Source organism: Homo sapiens, chromosome 1 (genome assembly GCF_000001405.40).
Source record: "Homo sapiens chromosome 1, GRCh38.p14 Primary Assembly".
In the NCBI taxonomy this organism is placed as follows: Eukaryota; Metazoa; Chordata; class Mammalia; order Primates; family Hominidae; genus Homo; species Homo sapiens.
The window spans coordinates 184,855,039-184,872,561 of NC_000001.11; the positions used below are offsets into that span (position 1 = coordinate 184,855,039).

General features: G+C 37.6%; 1 protein-coding gene across 6 annotated transcripts in view, besides 1 other annotated feature; it reads right to left on the reverse strand.

Annotated features, from left to right (window-relative positions):
- The window catches only part of NIBAN1 (niban apoptosis regulator 1), a 183,477-nt gene that overhangs the window by 64,007 nt on the left and 101,947 nt on the right, over positions 1 to 17,523 (reverse strand). The window lies entirely within an intron of this gene.
- Positions 4,649 to 4,718: an enhancer, noted in NCBI's record as "active region_2239". NCBI's record gives its function as "activates an Ori minimal core promoter by ATAC-STARR-seq in GM12878 lymphoblastoid cells {active_cell/tissue: GM12878}" and the evidence as "EXISTENCE:reporter gene assay evidence [ECO:0000049][PMID:35858748]".

Below are 17,523 nucleotides of genomic sequence, written 5' to 3' on the forward strand. Positions count from 1 at the left end.
CCTCTTGGGCATTCATAGATCCTAATTGCATTTTGTGATTGTGGAAGGCATGATGGAATCATAGAACTAAAATGGACTTTAAATGTCCAATCCATTTCCCTACGAATAAGGCAATATTTATTTATTAAATAGTTGTAACTAGTTACTAGTTATTAAATAGTTGTAACAGCATATAAAATATTCCAGACCAATTATAATTATTAACAACTGTAAAAAGCTAATGTTTATTAAATAGTGTGGGTTTACGTTACAATCAAGAACATTTCTACAGGTAGCATCCTTAGCAGCTGGGCATAACATTGAATAAAATAACATTGAAAAATCACTATCGTGTCTTCCCAGAGCTTTTCTTTCAAGCTGAATGATACAATTATTGCTAGTATTCCTTATAGGTTTTGTTTGTTAATCCCATACTTATTTTTTTTTTAATCTCTCTGATAGCATTCTCTATCTCCACATTTCTCTTCAGTTCTAGGCTGGGCATAGTTCTCTCTAATTCTGTGCTTCTCTAATACAATTTATTTTATATGTTGCCTGACCTCTCCCCCTTCAACCCCAGCACTCCTGGATCCCCTTAGTCCACTCTACTATTTTTCCACAGCACTTGCTACATTCTGTCATGCTACATAATTTCTTTACTGTGTTCATGGTCTATTTTCTGTTTCCACCATTGGCCCCGAACTAGAATATAAGTGTCACAAGAACAGGCATCTTTGTTTTGCTCATTGCTGTATCCTGAGAACCTAGAATAGAACTTGGCACACACTATATACTCAATAAATATTTGTTGAATAAATGAATGTAGATCTGATCAGTGTAGATTGCCAGTTTCTAATTAAGCTTAAATTAATGTATAAGTATTCATCTAGACCCATGTTTCTAGCCGATTGGTAAGTACATTGAGCAAGACAAAAGTACACGTCTAAACTAAAAATAAACATTTATTGTGTTACAATATAAATGAAAGCAAATGGGTTACGTAGTAATACTGCTCTTTAAAAAGTGTTATTCTTCAGTATCAAAGATTGGGGATACTGATTACTTCTGACTTATTCCCATATTTTTCTAGTTATAAATGCTGAATCCACAAGTCTAGAATGTTCAATCATGTTCACCCACTTCTCAATTTAAATATAAGTATTAAATATCAAATCTATTTTAGGCTCCTGATTGACATCATTATTTGTTTTATAAGTCAGATTTTGTGGGCTTAGATTTTTAAAATATTGTGCCTACATGCCTTCTGGAGAAAAATGACCCAGTTTTCATTTTGTAAAATGGCAATCTTATTCATATGGGTCTATTTTTGATCGGTATTTTCTCCCTAATGCTTATTGTAGTACCTAACATACAGTAAGGGTTCTAAAAAATCTTTATTTATTTAATGAAAAATTCATTCTGGCAAACTTTGAAAATTTGACCATGGACATTTAGGAAGAAAGCAACAAAGGTGACACATTCAAAACATGGGGAAAAATTTTAAGCTGGAAAAAAGGTGATAACTAATTGATGCAGAAATGAGAAAATCATAATTCAACCAAATTATTCCTCCTATCACCTAATCATTATTATATATTCACTCACTCCCCTAACACTGGTTGAACATATTCTATGTATGAGTCACTGTGAGGGATTCTCTGAATATAAGGGAACAAGATTTGGTTCATGGGCATAAAGTTTGAGTGGGAAAGAATAATAAATCCACCACCTGTTCCCCATTGGATCCCCGGCACTCTGAACAATCACAAGGCAGGTGCCTGGTAAGTGTTTGGCAAAAGAAGGCATAATGATCTGTAACACAACAGCGAGTGTGATAAATGCTACTAGTGAAAGCAATGGGCCATGGGAGTCTGGTTTGGAATATGGATGTTTTCATGGAACAGGGAGCTAAGTAGACATGGGTGGGCTGAACTGTGGCAGGTGGCAGGTTCTCAAGGCAAAGGAAGAGCGTGACCCAAAGCACAGAGGAAAGCCACAGAGCACAGTGTCCTCATCACACAGCATTTCCTTTTTCAAACACCCAACCTATGAAATCTTCAAGCCTATCCTAGAAAGAGTTCTTAATTTATATTAGGTGCAGACATAAAACTATGTGGTTATAAAGCCTTCCAACAGATAGAGTGCAAGGTGATGGGTTCTGGAGTCTGCAAGGCTTAGGGGCTTCCTAACTGGGATCAAGATGCTATTGTGTAAGGCAAGACACCATGAACAAAGGCCTAAGGACAGAGCCTGCACTTGGTGAGTTCTCTAGCTTCCAGTGACCTTCCTTCTTCTCCTTTGCTGTGTCCTAATGGCAGCCTTGAGCTTAGTACAGATGGGAAAAGCACACTACAACATTTAATCTATTCCCGTGAGTGTGAGTGGGCCTTCAAAATGAATGTTTTGGATCCCCCATTGAATATGACATGTAAACATTTAATAATATTTTCTAAAATAATTTATAAATTGATTGTAATTAGAAACCCAGCAGGCATTAGGGAATAATTAGCTACAATGAATGTAAATTCACAATGAGAATATATGCCTAAAATGATCAAGAAAAGTATTATACGACTGAATTGTAAGTGGAAAATGTTCTTATTAAAGAATATGCAACAAAAATCTGCAATCAAATTAAAATTGCATTAACATGAGAATAAACAAATAGATATACATATACATATGTGTCTTGAGGTTATCTAGGTATTCTTTTCTCTTTTCATATGTATATGTGTGTATATATATAATTTTAATATATGGCAAAAATTGTAGCTTAATTCAGTGGGAAGGTTAGATTATTTAATAAATGGTGCTGGCGCAACTGATTTTCCATTTAAAGGGAAAATGTTAGACCACTCATATACATCATATATAAACATGATTTCCACACAGACTGGAAACTCAAATGTTAAAAAAAAAATAGCAATATAAAACCTTCAAGAAAAATTGAGGAAATTAGAAATATAATCTTGGGTTAAGGGGAATCTTCTAAACACAGGCAGAAAATCCAAAAGCCATAAAAATAAAGATTAATATATTTGACTGCATAAAAATAGACACCTTTGCATGGCAAAATATATCATAATTAAAGGTTAATAATAACATAATTAGTTTATAATAACACATGAGCAATGAATTTGAGAAAAACATTTTTAATGGAGATATAAAAAAGAGTTAATATCTAAATGTTCAGAGTTCTTATAAGAAAATTACCAACAAGAGAACAAGAAAAAGAAGGAAGGAATGAATGACAATGAAAAGATATAAAAAGGGTTAATATCTAAATGTTCAGAGTTCTTACAAGAATATTACAAAACAAAAGGAAGAAGAAGAAAAAGAATGAATAAATGAATGAAAATGAAAATGGCAAAGAACATCAACGGACAATTCACATGAAAGTGCATCTAAATGGCTGATAAACATGAGATAAGATCTCAGACTCATGGCCAATCCGGGAAAGGCCACTCAAAATAAAAAGCAAATTCACTTCTTATCCATCAGCTTGTCAAAAAAAAACAAAGCAAGAGCCGAAATACCTATGATTGGCAGGGCTGCTGGAAAAAGGGCACTCTCATACACTGTAGAAATATGAAATTTTATAGTCTATCAGAAAATTAATCTGGCAACATCTATTAAGTTAAAAATACATTTACCCAGCAATCTCTCTTCACGGGCACTGCCTCATAGAAATAAGAACATGAGGATATATGTACAAGGACACGTATTTAATCATGGGTGATAGTGGTAAACCTGGGAACAGAGTAAAGGCCATCAGGAAGAGAATGGTTGAATCATGTAGGGTGCAAACCACAGAATATTATATAGCTGCTAATAAAGGAGTTAAAACAGTATCAATTGACTTGGAGGGATTTCCATGAGACCCTGTTGAGTGAAAAAAAGAAAAATAGAGAAAAGTGTATCACATGGTCACCTTAAAAAAACAAAAAACAAAAAACAGTGACCAAAAACCCCTATAATATATGTAGGTATATTGAGAAAAATATGGAAAGATACATACAGGAATTTTAATTCCTACAGGAGTTCTAATTCCTCTATGGAGGAATTAAAAGAATGAAAAGAGAAGCAAAAAAAGAAAAACCCTAACATTTATGATATGATCCAATTTATGCATTTATATAAAATTGTGTGTATGTATATATATGTGCGGTTTTAAATAAATAAATAAATATATATATATGAGGTTTTAAAATAATGTAAAACAAAGAGAAGAATATTTGACTCAAGGAATTATTTGGTCCTTTCATTCATTATTTGGCTCAATCATTTGCTGGGCAGTGGAATACATCTGTCCAGCAAATACATCCTCAGCCTACCCACGTTGATCAATATCACATTTCTTCCATGTGATCCTGGGTAAAGTGCTCAACCTCCCTGTGTCCTTATCTACCACAATGATGGCAGTGGGACATAGGATCTCTAAGGTACTTTCCAGCTCTGGCATCATTATTTGATACCTCTGCTTTCCGTGTCACTGGGTTCAGAGAACACAAGTTTGATCTGTATTTCCCCAGTAACCATGTAGCCAATGGAAACAAACCAAAAAGGATCTGAAAGCAGAAGCAGAATATATCCCACTACCTGATTTCTGTTGTAAGAGTTCTGATTTTTTTTTTCTTGACCAGGTAACTAGGCCAGTGCTTATTTTCATGGTGCTATGAAGTCATCATTATGGTATATAAGCAGTCCTATCTGCTGTGCCTTGCTGGTTCGCTCTGCCATGCTCACCAGATTACTGTGAGTGACTGGTGGCTACCCAGTAGATATTTTAAGGGAAGGGCTGGGTGGGGGTTTCATGGGCAGCATGGTGAGGATGCCATTGCTCAGCAAGGAGCTGAGGTCTGCATCAGGAAAGCGGACAGCTGATGAGGGTGTGTGCAAGGCAGTTAGCCTACAACCAAGCACTCCTGCAAGTCAGAGCCATGGGAAAGTGGAACCAAAGCCAGAACTTCAGGGAACGAAGGACTGTGGGGAGGCATTGGGAAGTGGTCATGTCCATGCAAGGACCGTAGACCACAAAGGGAAAGTAAGAAAAGGCTGGAAGAATAGACCCACTCATGAACTAGCTGAAAATGAACCAGAGAACTATGGTGTGAGTGGGGTTGGAATCAAAGCCATAGGACTAATATAGGCCCAGACTGTAGACAGAAGGAATGAAAAGGAGTTTAATGGGCATTTTAGGGTATGCAAAGCTGTAGGCAGGTGGGAGGAAGCATGCTAAATATAGCACTGCGGCGGGGGCGGGGGGCCAGGGAGACGGGGGCAGATCTACCTCAAACTTCCAGAGTAAAACAAAAATTAATTTTGTAAACATGCAAAAAAATTCAAAATATTATAAAATTAGCTTCCAAAAATTGTATAATTGTGACTTAGAAGTCATTGCTTTTATTTATCCTCAGACATTGTGAAAAAAATTGTTCTATTAGGATAAAAAACAAAAACTGAATATTATTTATGGAGTAGCATCACAAAAATTGATGTGTTATTTTATGAAAATATTTTGTATCTTAAAAATCCTAACAGTGTATATATATTAAGTATTTACTGTATGTCAGTCATTGTACTAAGTACTGTCTTTTCATTATCTCAGGTAATTTTCACAATAACTATATGAATGGGCACTGACAATACCTCTGTCCCACTGATGAGAAAATTGAAGAGTAATGAGAGTGAGTAACACAGATCCTAAGTGGTGGAGCCAAGATCTGAATCCAAAATAGTCTTTCAAAATCAAATTCCAAATACTAAGCTTACAAACACCACACCATAATACCTCTTTCCACAAACAGGAAATTCATTTGAAATATGCAATCTCAAGTTTTGGAGAAAGTTTCTTGTCTGCTTAGAGTCTACTTCATGATGAGACACACATTATCACACCCAAGTAATTTGTGCCCACACATGTTTCAGTCATACAAAGTCCACGGCCCACCCTACCTGAAAAGGCATGGATCAAATGAAATATTGTAGCTCTTATTTTCAAGTATTTTCTAGACCAGGGGTCAGCAAACTTTTTCTGTAAAAGGCAAAATAGTAAACATTGTAGGCTTTGTGAGCCATTCAGTCTCTGTTGCCACTAGTCAACTCTGCCATTCTATTGCAGAAGCAGCCCAAAATACCTAGGCAAATGGTGTGGCTGTGTTCCACACACAAACAGGTGGCAGCCAGACTTGCCAGCTCTTGCTCCAGACCATATGTTCTTCAGGGCTAATTTGCCACGTTCACAGATTCCTTTCCTTGAACCAATCTAAATCAAGTCCCTCTTATAATTTCTTGGTGCATCCTTTACACACGTATCTCAATTTGTAATTAAATATTTTTTTCTTTATTATTACTAGTTTGTAACTTCTAAGAAGGCAGGGATCATGTCTGTTTTCTATAGCACTGGACTGTCAGCACTTAGCAAGGGCTCAGCATACAAAAGGTGCTGATAAGTATTTGTTGGCAGAAGGAAGGGACAAGAGGAAAGAAGACAGGAAGGGGGGAAGAGGAGGGAGGAAGGGAGGAAGGGAGGGAGGAAGGGAAAGAAGGAGAGAAGGAAGGAAGGAGGGAAGGAAGGAGGGAAGGAAGGAAGGAAAGGAGAATGAAGGAAGGAAAGAGAAAAGGAGAAGGAAAAGGAAGGAAGGAAGGAGGAAGGGAGGGAGGGAAGGAGTGAGGGAAGGAAAGAAGGAAGGAAGGGGAAAAGGAGAGAAGGAGAAGGGGAGGGAGGAAGGGAGGAAAGAAGAAAGGAGGGAGGGAGGAAAGAAGGAAAGAAGAAGGGAGGGAAGAAGAGAGAGAAGGAGGGAGGGAAGTAGGGAGGTAGGGAGTTATCAGTTCTTCATAATTAATCTTGCTCTGTGTTCTGAAGTGGAATTAGTGTGCTCCAGAAAGCCATCTTCCCCTGCACAGTGACTAGTACTGTCAGCTAGGGACTAAGGCATGCCCCAATGTCCTTTTATGTGAAAGAAAAACAAATTTTCTATCCTTTTCTCCACAGGTTCAAGGGCACTCACTATTATTCCACAGTTCAAAGAAAGGAAAGAACAATAAGATTGACCTGGCCTTTTCCTTGCAAAAAGTCAACATTAGACCATGCCAAAGTACATATTAGAAAAATCGCCCGCAGACCTTCCCTGGCACCTGCAGACCTTCCCTTGTTTATCTCCGAATGCTCCCCCTGCCCGGTTAACAGCAGCCACTGTCCCGTGATGGAAGTGGCTAGCTAACACTGGGTCTCTTGATCCTCCTCAGGTCAGCTTCCTAGTCGATGCTCCATTTCTCAACAGGTTTTTCATACTTTTTTTTTTTTAAGGTGAGATCTCACTATGTTGCCCAGGCTGGAGTGCTGTGGCTATTCACAGGCGCAATCATTGTGCAGTACAGCCTTGAATTCCTGGGCTCAAGCGATCCTCCTGCCTCAGCTTCGAGAGCAGCTGGGACTACAGTGGTATGCCACCATGCTCAGCCCTCTTACCAGGTTTTTGTTTTGTTTTGTTAAAATAATTATCTCCATATTTATTTGAAATAGAAAATGAACACATTTTTTAGCAATACCAAGCATCTGAAGTCCCAGGTGCAAATGAAGAACTTGAAAGATCCTAAAATTTTGAGCTTCCATGGCAGAAGGCATATCTTCAGTTGCCTGATTTTATTTCTTGGTATTTCCCCTTTTTGTTTTTAAAGAATTCCATATGCCCATCTCAAACACAGAAAAGAAACAAATCTCCCTTTTGTGGTCATATGAGAAACAGCAGCATTAATTGGAAAATATCAGAATATTGATAATTGTATAGCCAAGCTATCCCACAGTTTTTCTTTTCTTTTTTTTTTTAATAACTTTTATTTTAAGTTCAGGGGTAAAAGTGCAGGTTGTTACACAGGTAAACTTGTGTCATAGGTGTTTGTTGTACAGATTATTTCATCACCCAGGTATTAAGCCCAGTATCTGGTATTTATGTTTTCTGATCCTCTCCTTTTTCCCACCCTCCAGCCTCCGGAGGCACCCCTGTGTGTTGTTTCTCACCAGGTTTTATTAGTTTAACATTACGTCCTCCTTAAAAGAGTTCTGAGAACCTCACGTGTAGCAGTTCATTCTCTCCCTCCTCATCACCACACGATGCGGTAGGCATTACTAGTTGACCTGTCCAATGTTCTCTGCCCTATGAAGCTTTGAACACTAAGGTTATTCTCTTTCCCACACTCTCAGTTGGTCTTATCTTCCTCTGGAACTACTGATACCTTATTCTTAGGACAACAAGAAGAAAGATAAGTTTATTTTTGTTTTTATTCTGGCAGACACAGAACTGACTTGAGGCTTCACCTCTGATATTCTGGAAATGTTGTTTCTTCTAATACAATAAAAATGCAACGGTGTCTTCAGAAGATGCATGTAATAGATGCCACCTGGGGACTTTAACTGAGTTCAAATTAGTTTTTTTTGTTTGTTTGTTTATGTATTTTTGGTTTACAGATTCAATTTCTATTTTCAATTAAATAAAATTCCCAGAAGCAAGCAACTGCAATTGCAATTTCAGAATCTAGATTGCCTACATTTACAAGAGACACTTTTACCTTCTGGAGCAAAACAAAATATGTCTGATCCTTCCTCTACGTGACAAAAGATATTTGAAGATTTTTTTCCTCCCTTCAACCACTGTCAGGTTAAACATAACCCAGTTTTCTCAGTCATATGACCTGGTTGCCAGACCTCTTACTATTCAAGCACTGGACATACTCTAGTATGACCAGCAATAAGCAGTAAGAGCAGAGATCTAGGTATTCATTGGTTTAATAGCTTAATTAGCTATTGTGACCTTAAATAGCTTTGTGACTTTAAATATACTTCTTAATTTCCATGAACCTCAGTGTCATCTGAAAAATGGAGATAAAATTTGTTCCTCCTTAGTATTGTCATAGGGATCGAAAGAGCATACATTAAACACTCAGTGTATTACCTGGCATTCAATAATTGGTTGCTAGTATTGTTACTTTCTAAAATCCCTCTTCAAATGTAGCAGGAGAAACTGAATATATAATCCTTTAGTTGTCAGGCTCTTTAATACACAACAATTACGAGCTTGAGCTTTGGAGTTAAACATTCAGGATTGAATTCTGAGTCCACCACTTGATAACTGCCTACCTCTAGGCAATCTCCTTTAGCTATCTAAATCTTGGTTTCCTACGGACAATAATGCTGTTTAACTAAAAGGATTGTTGTCAGCCTTCACACAGTGCTTGGCACACGGTAAGTGCTCAATAAATATTAGCAATGTGAGCTATCATTAGTATTTTATCATTATAATTGGCAATCATACTTCTGACAAACTATAACGTACAAACCATTTCATTTTTATTTTCTTCCTCTAGGAGCTATATAACAGCCAATAAACACTTTATAGGTACATTATTCTAGTCTGTGAACAAGTGTGAATTACACATTTGAATAGGGTGAATTTAGAGGAAGCTGTTATCTTCCCTGACATTATTCCAGTAACGGAAGCCACTTCATTGTGAGAGGAAGAGTCTGCAGAGGTGAAGAAATGTTGTTTGGGTTCTTTTGTTAAGTCACTTCTTCAAAAGTGATGGTAAGTGTTACAGTCACCAAGGTGACTGTAAAAAAAAATACGTAAAATGAAAATAGATGCATTAAAAAATAATATTTTATTCACAAACTAGACATCTAACAAAGGTCTAATATTCAGAACCTTTAAGGAACTTAATTGAACAAGCAAAAAACAAATAATCGCATTAAAAATGGGCAAAAGACATGAATAGACAATTCTCAGAAGAAGACATACAAACGGCCAACAAACATATTTTAAGAATGCATATGTACCCTAAAACTTAAAGTATAATAATAATAAAAGAAAAAAAAAACATTGGCAGCATTTATAAGAACTAACTAGTTATAAGTAGTTCACTAAGAATGACCTCATCACAGGTTTTAGCTGAAACAATATAAAACTAAAGAGGTCAAAAAAAAAAAAAAAAAGAATGCTCAGTATCACTAATCATCAGAGAAATGCAAATCAAAATCACAATGTGATACCATCTCACACCAGTCAGAATGGCTATTACTAAAAAGTCAAAAAATAACAGATGCTGGTGAGGTGCAGAGAAAAGGGAATGCTTATACATGGTAGATAGGAATGTAAGTTAGTTCAGCCACTGTGGAAAGCAGTCTGGAATCAGCCTTGGTGCCCATCAACAGTGGGCTGGGCAAAGAAAATGTGGTATATATACACAATGGGATACTACACAGCTATTAAAAAAAGAACAAAATCATGTCCTTTGTAGCAACATGGAGGAAGCTGAAGGCCATTATAAGCAAATTAACACAGGAGCAGAAAACCAAATACCTCATGTTCTCACTTATAAGTGGGAGCCACACATTGAGTACCAATGGACATATAGATGGCAACAATACACGGGACTATAGAGGTGGGGGAAGGGTACAGAGTTGAAAAACCTAACTATTGTATACTATGCTCAGTACTTGGGTAACGAGACCATTCATACCCCAAACCTCAGCATCACACAGTATACCAATGTAACAAATCTGCACACGTACCCCCAAATCTAAAACAAGCTGAAAAAAAATAATTTTTAAACAAAAAGAAAGGATGCTTAATGGGTCACAGCCAACAAAACAGTGACTTAAATAATGGCATCATGCAACACATTTCACTTTGTCTGGTCAGTCTCAGTCAGAAATCTAACTGCTAAGATTGATTTTCATTAATCATCCAAATAATAAGCCAAAAATACTGTTTTATGTAAAGGAAGGCTTAAACACAAATGATAGTAGGCGATGAGGAGCATGAGAAAAAAAGTTGTAAAGCTGATGGAAAATGAAAAATAAACAAGTAACTGCACAGATAGTCAAAAAAGAAAGCAAAATCTTCCAAAGAAATTGCCTTTGCTGTTAACAAGTAAAATAGACCTTTCTCCTAAACAATCCGGAATGCTTTATTAACTATTCTTATCATTTCCAGATGCTTTTTCAAATGATGACCTACTTCCCATGCTCCTTTATTCAGTTAAAAAAAAATGAGTATGTGCTTACTACACCCCTACACTCAGTACTAATGGCTGAGATGTAATAGTAGATGGGCATAGACTTGGCTTCTAGGAACTCCTAGTTTTAGGAGTCAGATAAATAAATAGTCAATGATGACATGATGTGATTAGAACTGTGATGGAAGTAAGGACAGGTACGAGAGAAGGAAGGACAGATGAATGGACAGATAGAAGAAAATTGTGGGGCTTTCACCTACCTGAAAGATTAAGAAAGGTGTTCTGGTGGAAATGACATTTAACCTAAGGCCTTCAGAAAATCAAATTTAGGAGTCCAAAAGTGAGCTATTGGCTTAGGATTTAGTTCTAAGGGCTGAAAGATGCAGAGGGAATTGAAAATAGTGTTATAATTCTAGGATGTGTTCTTTGGAGGAAAGTTAAGAAGACACGAAATGTAATTTTAAGATGATAATGTGTAACAATCCACTTAACCCAACTGTCAGCTCCCTATAATAATATTTCAATTTCAAATCTGTTCCCTTCTCTTAAGTTATGAAATTCACATTTCCAGAGACATCTAAATTAGATCATAAGTTTCTTAGATTCCTGACCTGGTAAAAAATATACATGGTATGAAGAGAACAGTACTGTGTTCATTTAAAGCCACCAAATATGGAACTAGAAATCAGAAGAAAACCAGAGATGGCAAAATTTAGACCAATGGCAACTCACTCATCTATGCTGGTAATTTCACTACCCTTCATCCTGACCAAACCCAATCATAAATGTCAATCAGCCTATCTCAAAATTAGTGATATTTAGAACTTCACCTAGCAATTCTAGAAAGCTTTTGGCTTGCAAGGTATCTATGAAAGAAAGAGTGGAAGTTTTGCACCCCTTTCATCTAATCAAAATTCAAAATTTCTTCCCCCTTCTATTGTTATTCATTTATGAGCACAGATGTGCAAAAACCAATTCATTTTAAAGTCAAATACTAAATATGATGACTTACATCTGTACAAAAATCTGAAGTGCAGTACCGATACTAATGCGGTGACATCAGCAAGGCCAAACAGGAAGCTGAGGTATAGCCCCCATCACACACAGACACTCTCTCTCGGTCTCTCTCTCTCTCTCTCTCACACACACACACCCCTACACACAAACACACACACACACACACCCCAAAAGTGTCTCAGCTATAATATTGCATTCACTTAACGAATAGCCTTATTGCAAAACTTTGTGGTTTGTGACTAGGGTCTATTGTGCCAGGAAAAATATCTCCCTCTGTGCATGTTAAGCTTCTTCTGACAAGAAGCACTAGAAAGATACAAACCACCTATGTTCTTAGCAAGAATGACTCATTATTATTGGCACAAGGAGAATACAACTTTGTGGTAAGGCTTTTTGTTCTCAACTTGAAAATACCTAATCTGATATCCTAAAGCCTGGAGAAGAAAAAAAGAAGGATATCTTCAACTATTATCCTCCTCACTAGGGATTTAAGAAGGAAAGGACAATGGCTAAGGTGTGTGATAAGGTTACATCCTGCTTGACCCACCGTGTTTCCTGGAACAGAACCACTTGGGCTTGGGCCCGAGTTCACTTAAAGTGAGATGGAATGAGGCAAAATGATGTTCCTGATCTATTTTCTATTTCTTTTATTCCACTTATCCTGGAAAGTCAGGAGGAAATCATCCTCAAACTCTCCTCTGTTAACTGAGTGGGATAGCCTTACAAATTGAGTTTGGTTTATAAGCAATGACTGTGTTTTCGGTTTGTTTTGCCCCCAGCATCTAAGACAATGTTCTGGACACAGTAGACCCTTACCTTAATAGAGGCTCTTTTGTTCCAGCTTTTGTCTACCCCGTCACTTAAAGTGTCCCGTGTCACACAACGGGACAGTGTGGCAGTCTAATAGTTTCTAGGGAAAGGTGGGGAAGGAAAAAACAACAAATGAAGAGAAGTCTCAGTTCCTTTCTTAGCTGGTGATTGCATGAGCCATGCCCTGATCTCCCACCAGAAAGGAACTTGGCAGGGAGGGGCTTTGTCTGGTAAGATGTGAAAATGGGTGCTTTGCTTTCATTGCTCCTTCCTAACTTCCAACTTCCTTCTTTTTTACCTCCTTTTCTAAGCCTCTTAAAATAGAAATGTCCCACTAACACCCAGACGTTGTTGACTTGCAATATGATTTGTGGTCTCCAAAAGAAAATGCTAAAAAATTGTTTTAAAAAATTCAGGTCAGATCAGGACTTCCCCAACCCCCTCAGCAACAGCCAGTATGGGAATCCAGTTAACAAAAGAAAATGCTGAAAGGAAAAAAAAATAAAGGCTAAGTACTTAAAACACAAAGAACTGGTAATAGATAAGTACCATGAATTTTTCAACCCCACCCCTGCAACATATCCCACAAAATTATTCTCAGCTGTACATTTGCATAAACCAAGAAAATTCTAGCTTTGGAGAACATTTATAGAGTACACAGTTTACCACAGGAACACCCTTTTGGGTTAAGGCACAACTTCATGTTTAAAAGCAGAGAAAAGACTTAACTTCTGCATCTCAATTGTCACCTGAGTTTCAATTGATGTAGCAGCTCATGTCCCTCTCAAGTAGATATCAAGAAATTATCCATGTCAAGTTCAGTAGGAAGTGAGTATCCTCAAATCATCTGTTCCTGAATAAGGAATGAGATTAGATTTTTTTTAAAAATATCAGCTAGTCAAACACAGGGCACACAGTATGCGTTTAATAAGTACCTGCTGACTGAGAAGACACATGGTACAGTAGTTTAGAACACGGGCTTGAAGTCGGCCTGCTTGGCTTTAAAATCTTGTCCTGATCACCAGCTGTCTTACCAGCTGCCCCAGAACCCTCGTCTATAAAATGGGCATGATGACAATAATAGTGCCTACCTCACAGGACTGCTGTGAGGATTAAATGAGTTAATACAGTGGCTTTCCAAGTAGGGTCCCCAGGCCAGTAGTATCAGCATCAGCATTACCTGAGAACATGTCAGAAATGCAAATTCTTAGGACCCACCCCAGGCCAGGGAATTCCAGTGCATATTCAAGCAAGGGAAACAGACTAAATAATTTTAGGCATATTGCTTTCCTCTGGGATTTTATGGTCATGTCTAAGGGAAAGGTGGTACATTGCCTCTCACTCGGACAGAAGAAGGGGATAAAAGTAGAAGAGAAGAGAGGTATTTTATCTTACTAGTGGAGATCATCCATGTACACCTACACACGGTACAGCTTACCAGAGTGAGCTCTTACGTAAAATTAGATCGTCCAGTATAAAAAGCGAAAGGGTCACACTGGAAATGCAAAACTCAGTAAAGAAAATGTATCTCAGTTGTGCTTGCTATTAGATTCAGGATTATTTTCAAAAAGGAAATCCCATGAAGAGTCTAGTTGTGGTCCTCTCACTAAAATATTATAAAGAGTTTAATTTTATCTTACAATTGCTAAGCACATTGTGACCATTCACTACTTTTATTTGCATTCACTACTTTTTTTTTTTTTGAGACAGAGTTTCACTCTGTTTCCCAAGCCGGAGTGCAGTGGCTCCATCTCGGCTCACTGCAACTCCACCTCCCATGTTCAAGCGATTCTCCTGCCTCAGCCTCCTGAGTAGCTGGGATTACAGTTGTGCGCCACCATGCCCGGCTAATTTTTGTATTTTTAGTAGAGATGGGTTTTCACCATGTTGGCCAGGCTAGTCTCAAACTCCTGACCTCAAATGACCCACCCACCTTGGCCTCCCAACGTGCTAGGATTACGGGCGTGAGCCACTGCGCTCGGCCCACCATTCACCACTTTTTTATTGTGCTGTTGAATATCACTTCAAACATTAAATTCATATTATAAAAATCATGAATCTTTACCAGTAATACAATTTGAGAAAAATAAAAATTAAGTTGCTGAAGCAAAATACCTTATGTTTAAAAGGAAGACCCTAGGCAACAACGATTCTCTAACTCTGAAGGGATGCTGTTTAAAATGTACGTTTCTGGGCTCCTTTCCTCAGAGATTCTAATTCGTAGGTCTGGAATAATGCCAGGGACTCTGAAATTTTAAAAGTCTCTTCCCCCCAACTCTGATTCCACACCAAGTCATTCAGAAGCAGTGGTTGATAGATTACAATATGCTAAAAGTTTTTATCTTTAAATAACCTTAAATGAGTAATATCTTCTGATTAAGCAAAGTCTTCAGAGCTAAGAGCTAATCCTTTATACATGGGAAAGGTTTAAACTCTCTTTGATAGAAAGCTTCCTAAAATGTATTCCACATTTCTCTATCATCTAACACATAACACGTAGGATATAATTTACTCTTGATGACTGAGGTTTGTTTATTATTGTTATGATTGATATGTGCTATAGTTGCCGGGAGCATTCAACAGAGTTGACTGAAACATGGATCCCTAAAATGGCTCTACAACTCGAAAAAGTTCTGAACGTCAGGTTTAGCTTTTGAGTCATTTCCCCCGCTGTCAAGGTGGCAAATATATAGCCCAAGAAGGTGGCTTTTGAGTCATTTCCCGCAAGGTCAAGGTGGTAAATGTGCAGCCTCAGAACCTCAAGGATAATGCGACAGAGCTGCAAAATGAATGGTTGCTCCAAAGATGGAAGCAGCCTTTGTAAAACTGCCTTAGTGACAGTTAACTTTTCAACATCATACAATTTTTGTTAACACCATGCAAAAACCTATGGTGTTCAGCAGCATAGCATACTCTATACCGTAACCAACCCTCTTACTGAAGAAAAGACATAGTGGATAAATTGCACTTCCAAAAGTTCTTTTGAATACCTCAATGAACTGGCAACAACGTAAGACCTGTTATAGATTGAATTGTATACCCCCCAAATTCATACGTTGAAATCTTGATTCCCCCAAATCTCAGAAAGTGTCCTTGTTTGGAAATACGGTCATTGCATATGTAATTAGTTTAGATGAGATCATTCTGGAATAGGATAAGCCCCCAATCCAATATGACTGGTGTCCTTATAAAAGAGGAAAATGTGCTAGCTGGGTGCAGTGGCTCATGCCTGTAATCCCAGTATTTTGGGAGGCCAAGGTGGGCAAATCACCTGAGGTCAGGAGTTCAAGACTAGCCTGGCCAACATGGTGAAACCCCGTCTCTACTAAAAATACAAAAATTAGCCAAGCATGGTGGTGTGTGCCTGTAATCCCAGCTGCTTGGGAGGCTGAGGCTGGAGAATCACTTGAACCTGGGAGGTGGAGGGTGCAATGAGCTGAGATCATGTCATTACACTCCAGCCTGGGTTACAAGATCAAAACTCTATCTCAAAAAAAAAAAAAAAAAAAAAAAAAAGAGGAAAATGTGGACACAGACACATACATAGGGAAAATGTCATGGGAGGATGAAGGCATGGATCAGAGTGATGCTTATATAAGCCAAGGAGAGAAGCCTGGAATGGATCCTTTTCTCATTGCCCTCAGAAGGAACCAACCCTGCCATCATCTGGATTTTGAACTTTGAGACAATACACTTCTGGTGTTTAAGTCACTAAGTTTGAGGTGTTTTGTTACAACAGCCCTAGCAAACTAATACAAAACCCAAAAACATAAGGCAAGTCTTGAAGCTAGTTTTCACTTTGAAGACACTGATAGAACCTAGTGACCTTAAGCTACCTTTTTCTAGCCTCCCAGGATGCTGAATACCAGAATCAAAGAACCAATGCATATAATGTGCCAAATTAAATTGCAGAAACCACCCACATACACACGGTCTTAGCCCATTCTAAGGAAAATTGTCTGTCTCAAACCTAGGCATTGAGTGAAAGAGATAAATATTTCTCTTGAGAAATCATAATCAGAAGGATGTCCCCACAATCTTTATGGCCTAAATGCACATTAGCTACATGGTCCAAATATCTGGTAGTGTCCTCAAGCATCTAGTAAGAGGAAACACAAATCCTCTCAGGAACTCACCTTCAACTGGCTTCAGTGAAATATGAACTCATCATCAAAAAAATCACAAAATAAGCAAGTTAATAAGGTACCATGAGTAAGAGCCAGCACAAATAACAGCAGAATACAACCCACAGGGATCTTGGATATTAAAATTAGCAAACACGGAATATAAAATATATTGTTTGACATGTTTAAAAATATTTTTAAAAATTGGAAATATAAGTAAAAAGAGATTATTTTAAATGACCAGATTAGAAAAAGAACGAAAATAATTAATAGAAATGAAAAATAAAAAAATTAAAATTTAAACTCCGTAGATAAGGTTAGTAATGGATTAAATACAGATGAAGAGAGAAGTAGAGAACTGAATGACAGAGCACAGAAACTGTTCAGGGAAAAAAAAAGAGAGAAAAAAGATAGAAAATATAAAATTAAAAGTTAACAAGTAGGCTGGGCATGAAGGCTCACGCCTGTAATGCCAGCATTTTGGGAGGCTGAGGCAGGTAGATCACTTGAGGTTAGGAGTTCGAGACCAGCCTGACCAACATGGTGAAACCCCATCTCTACTAAAAATACAAAAAATTAG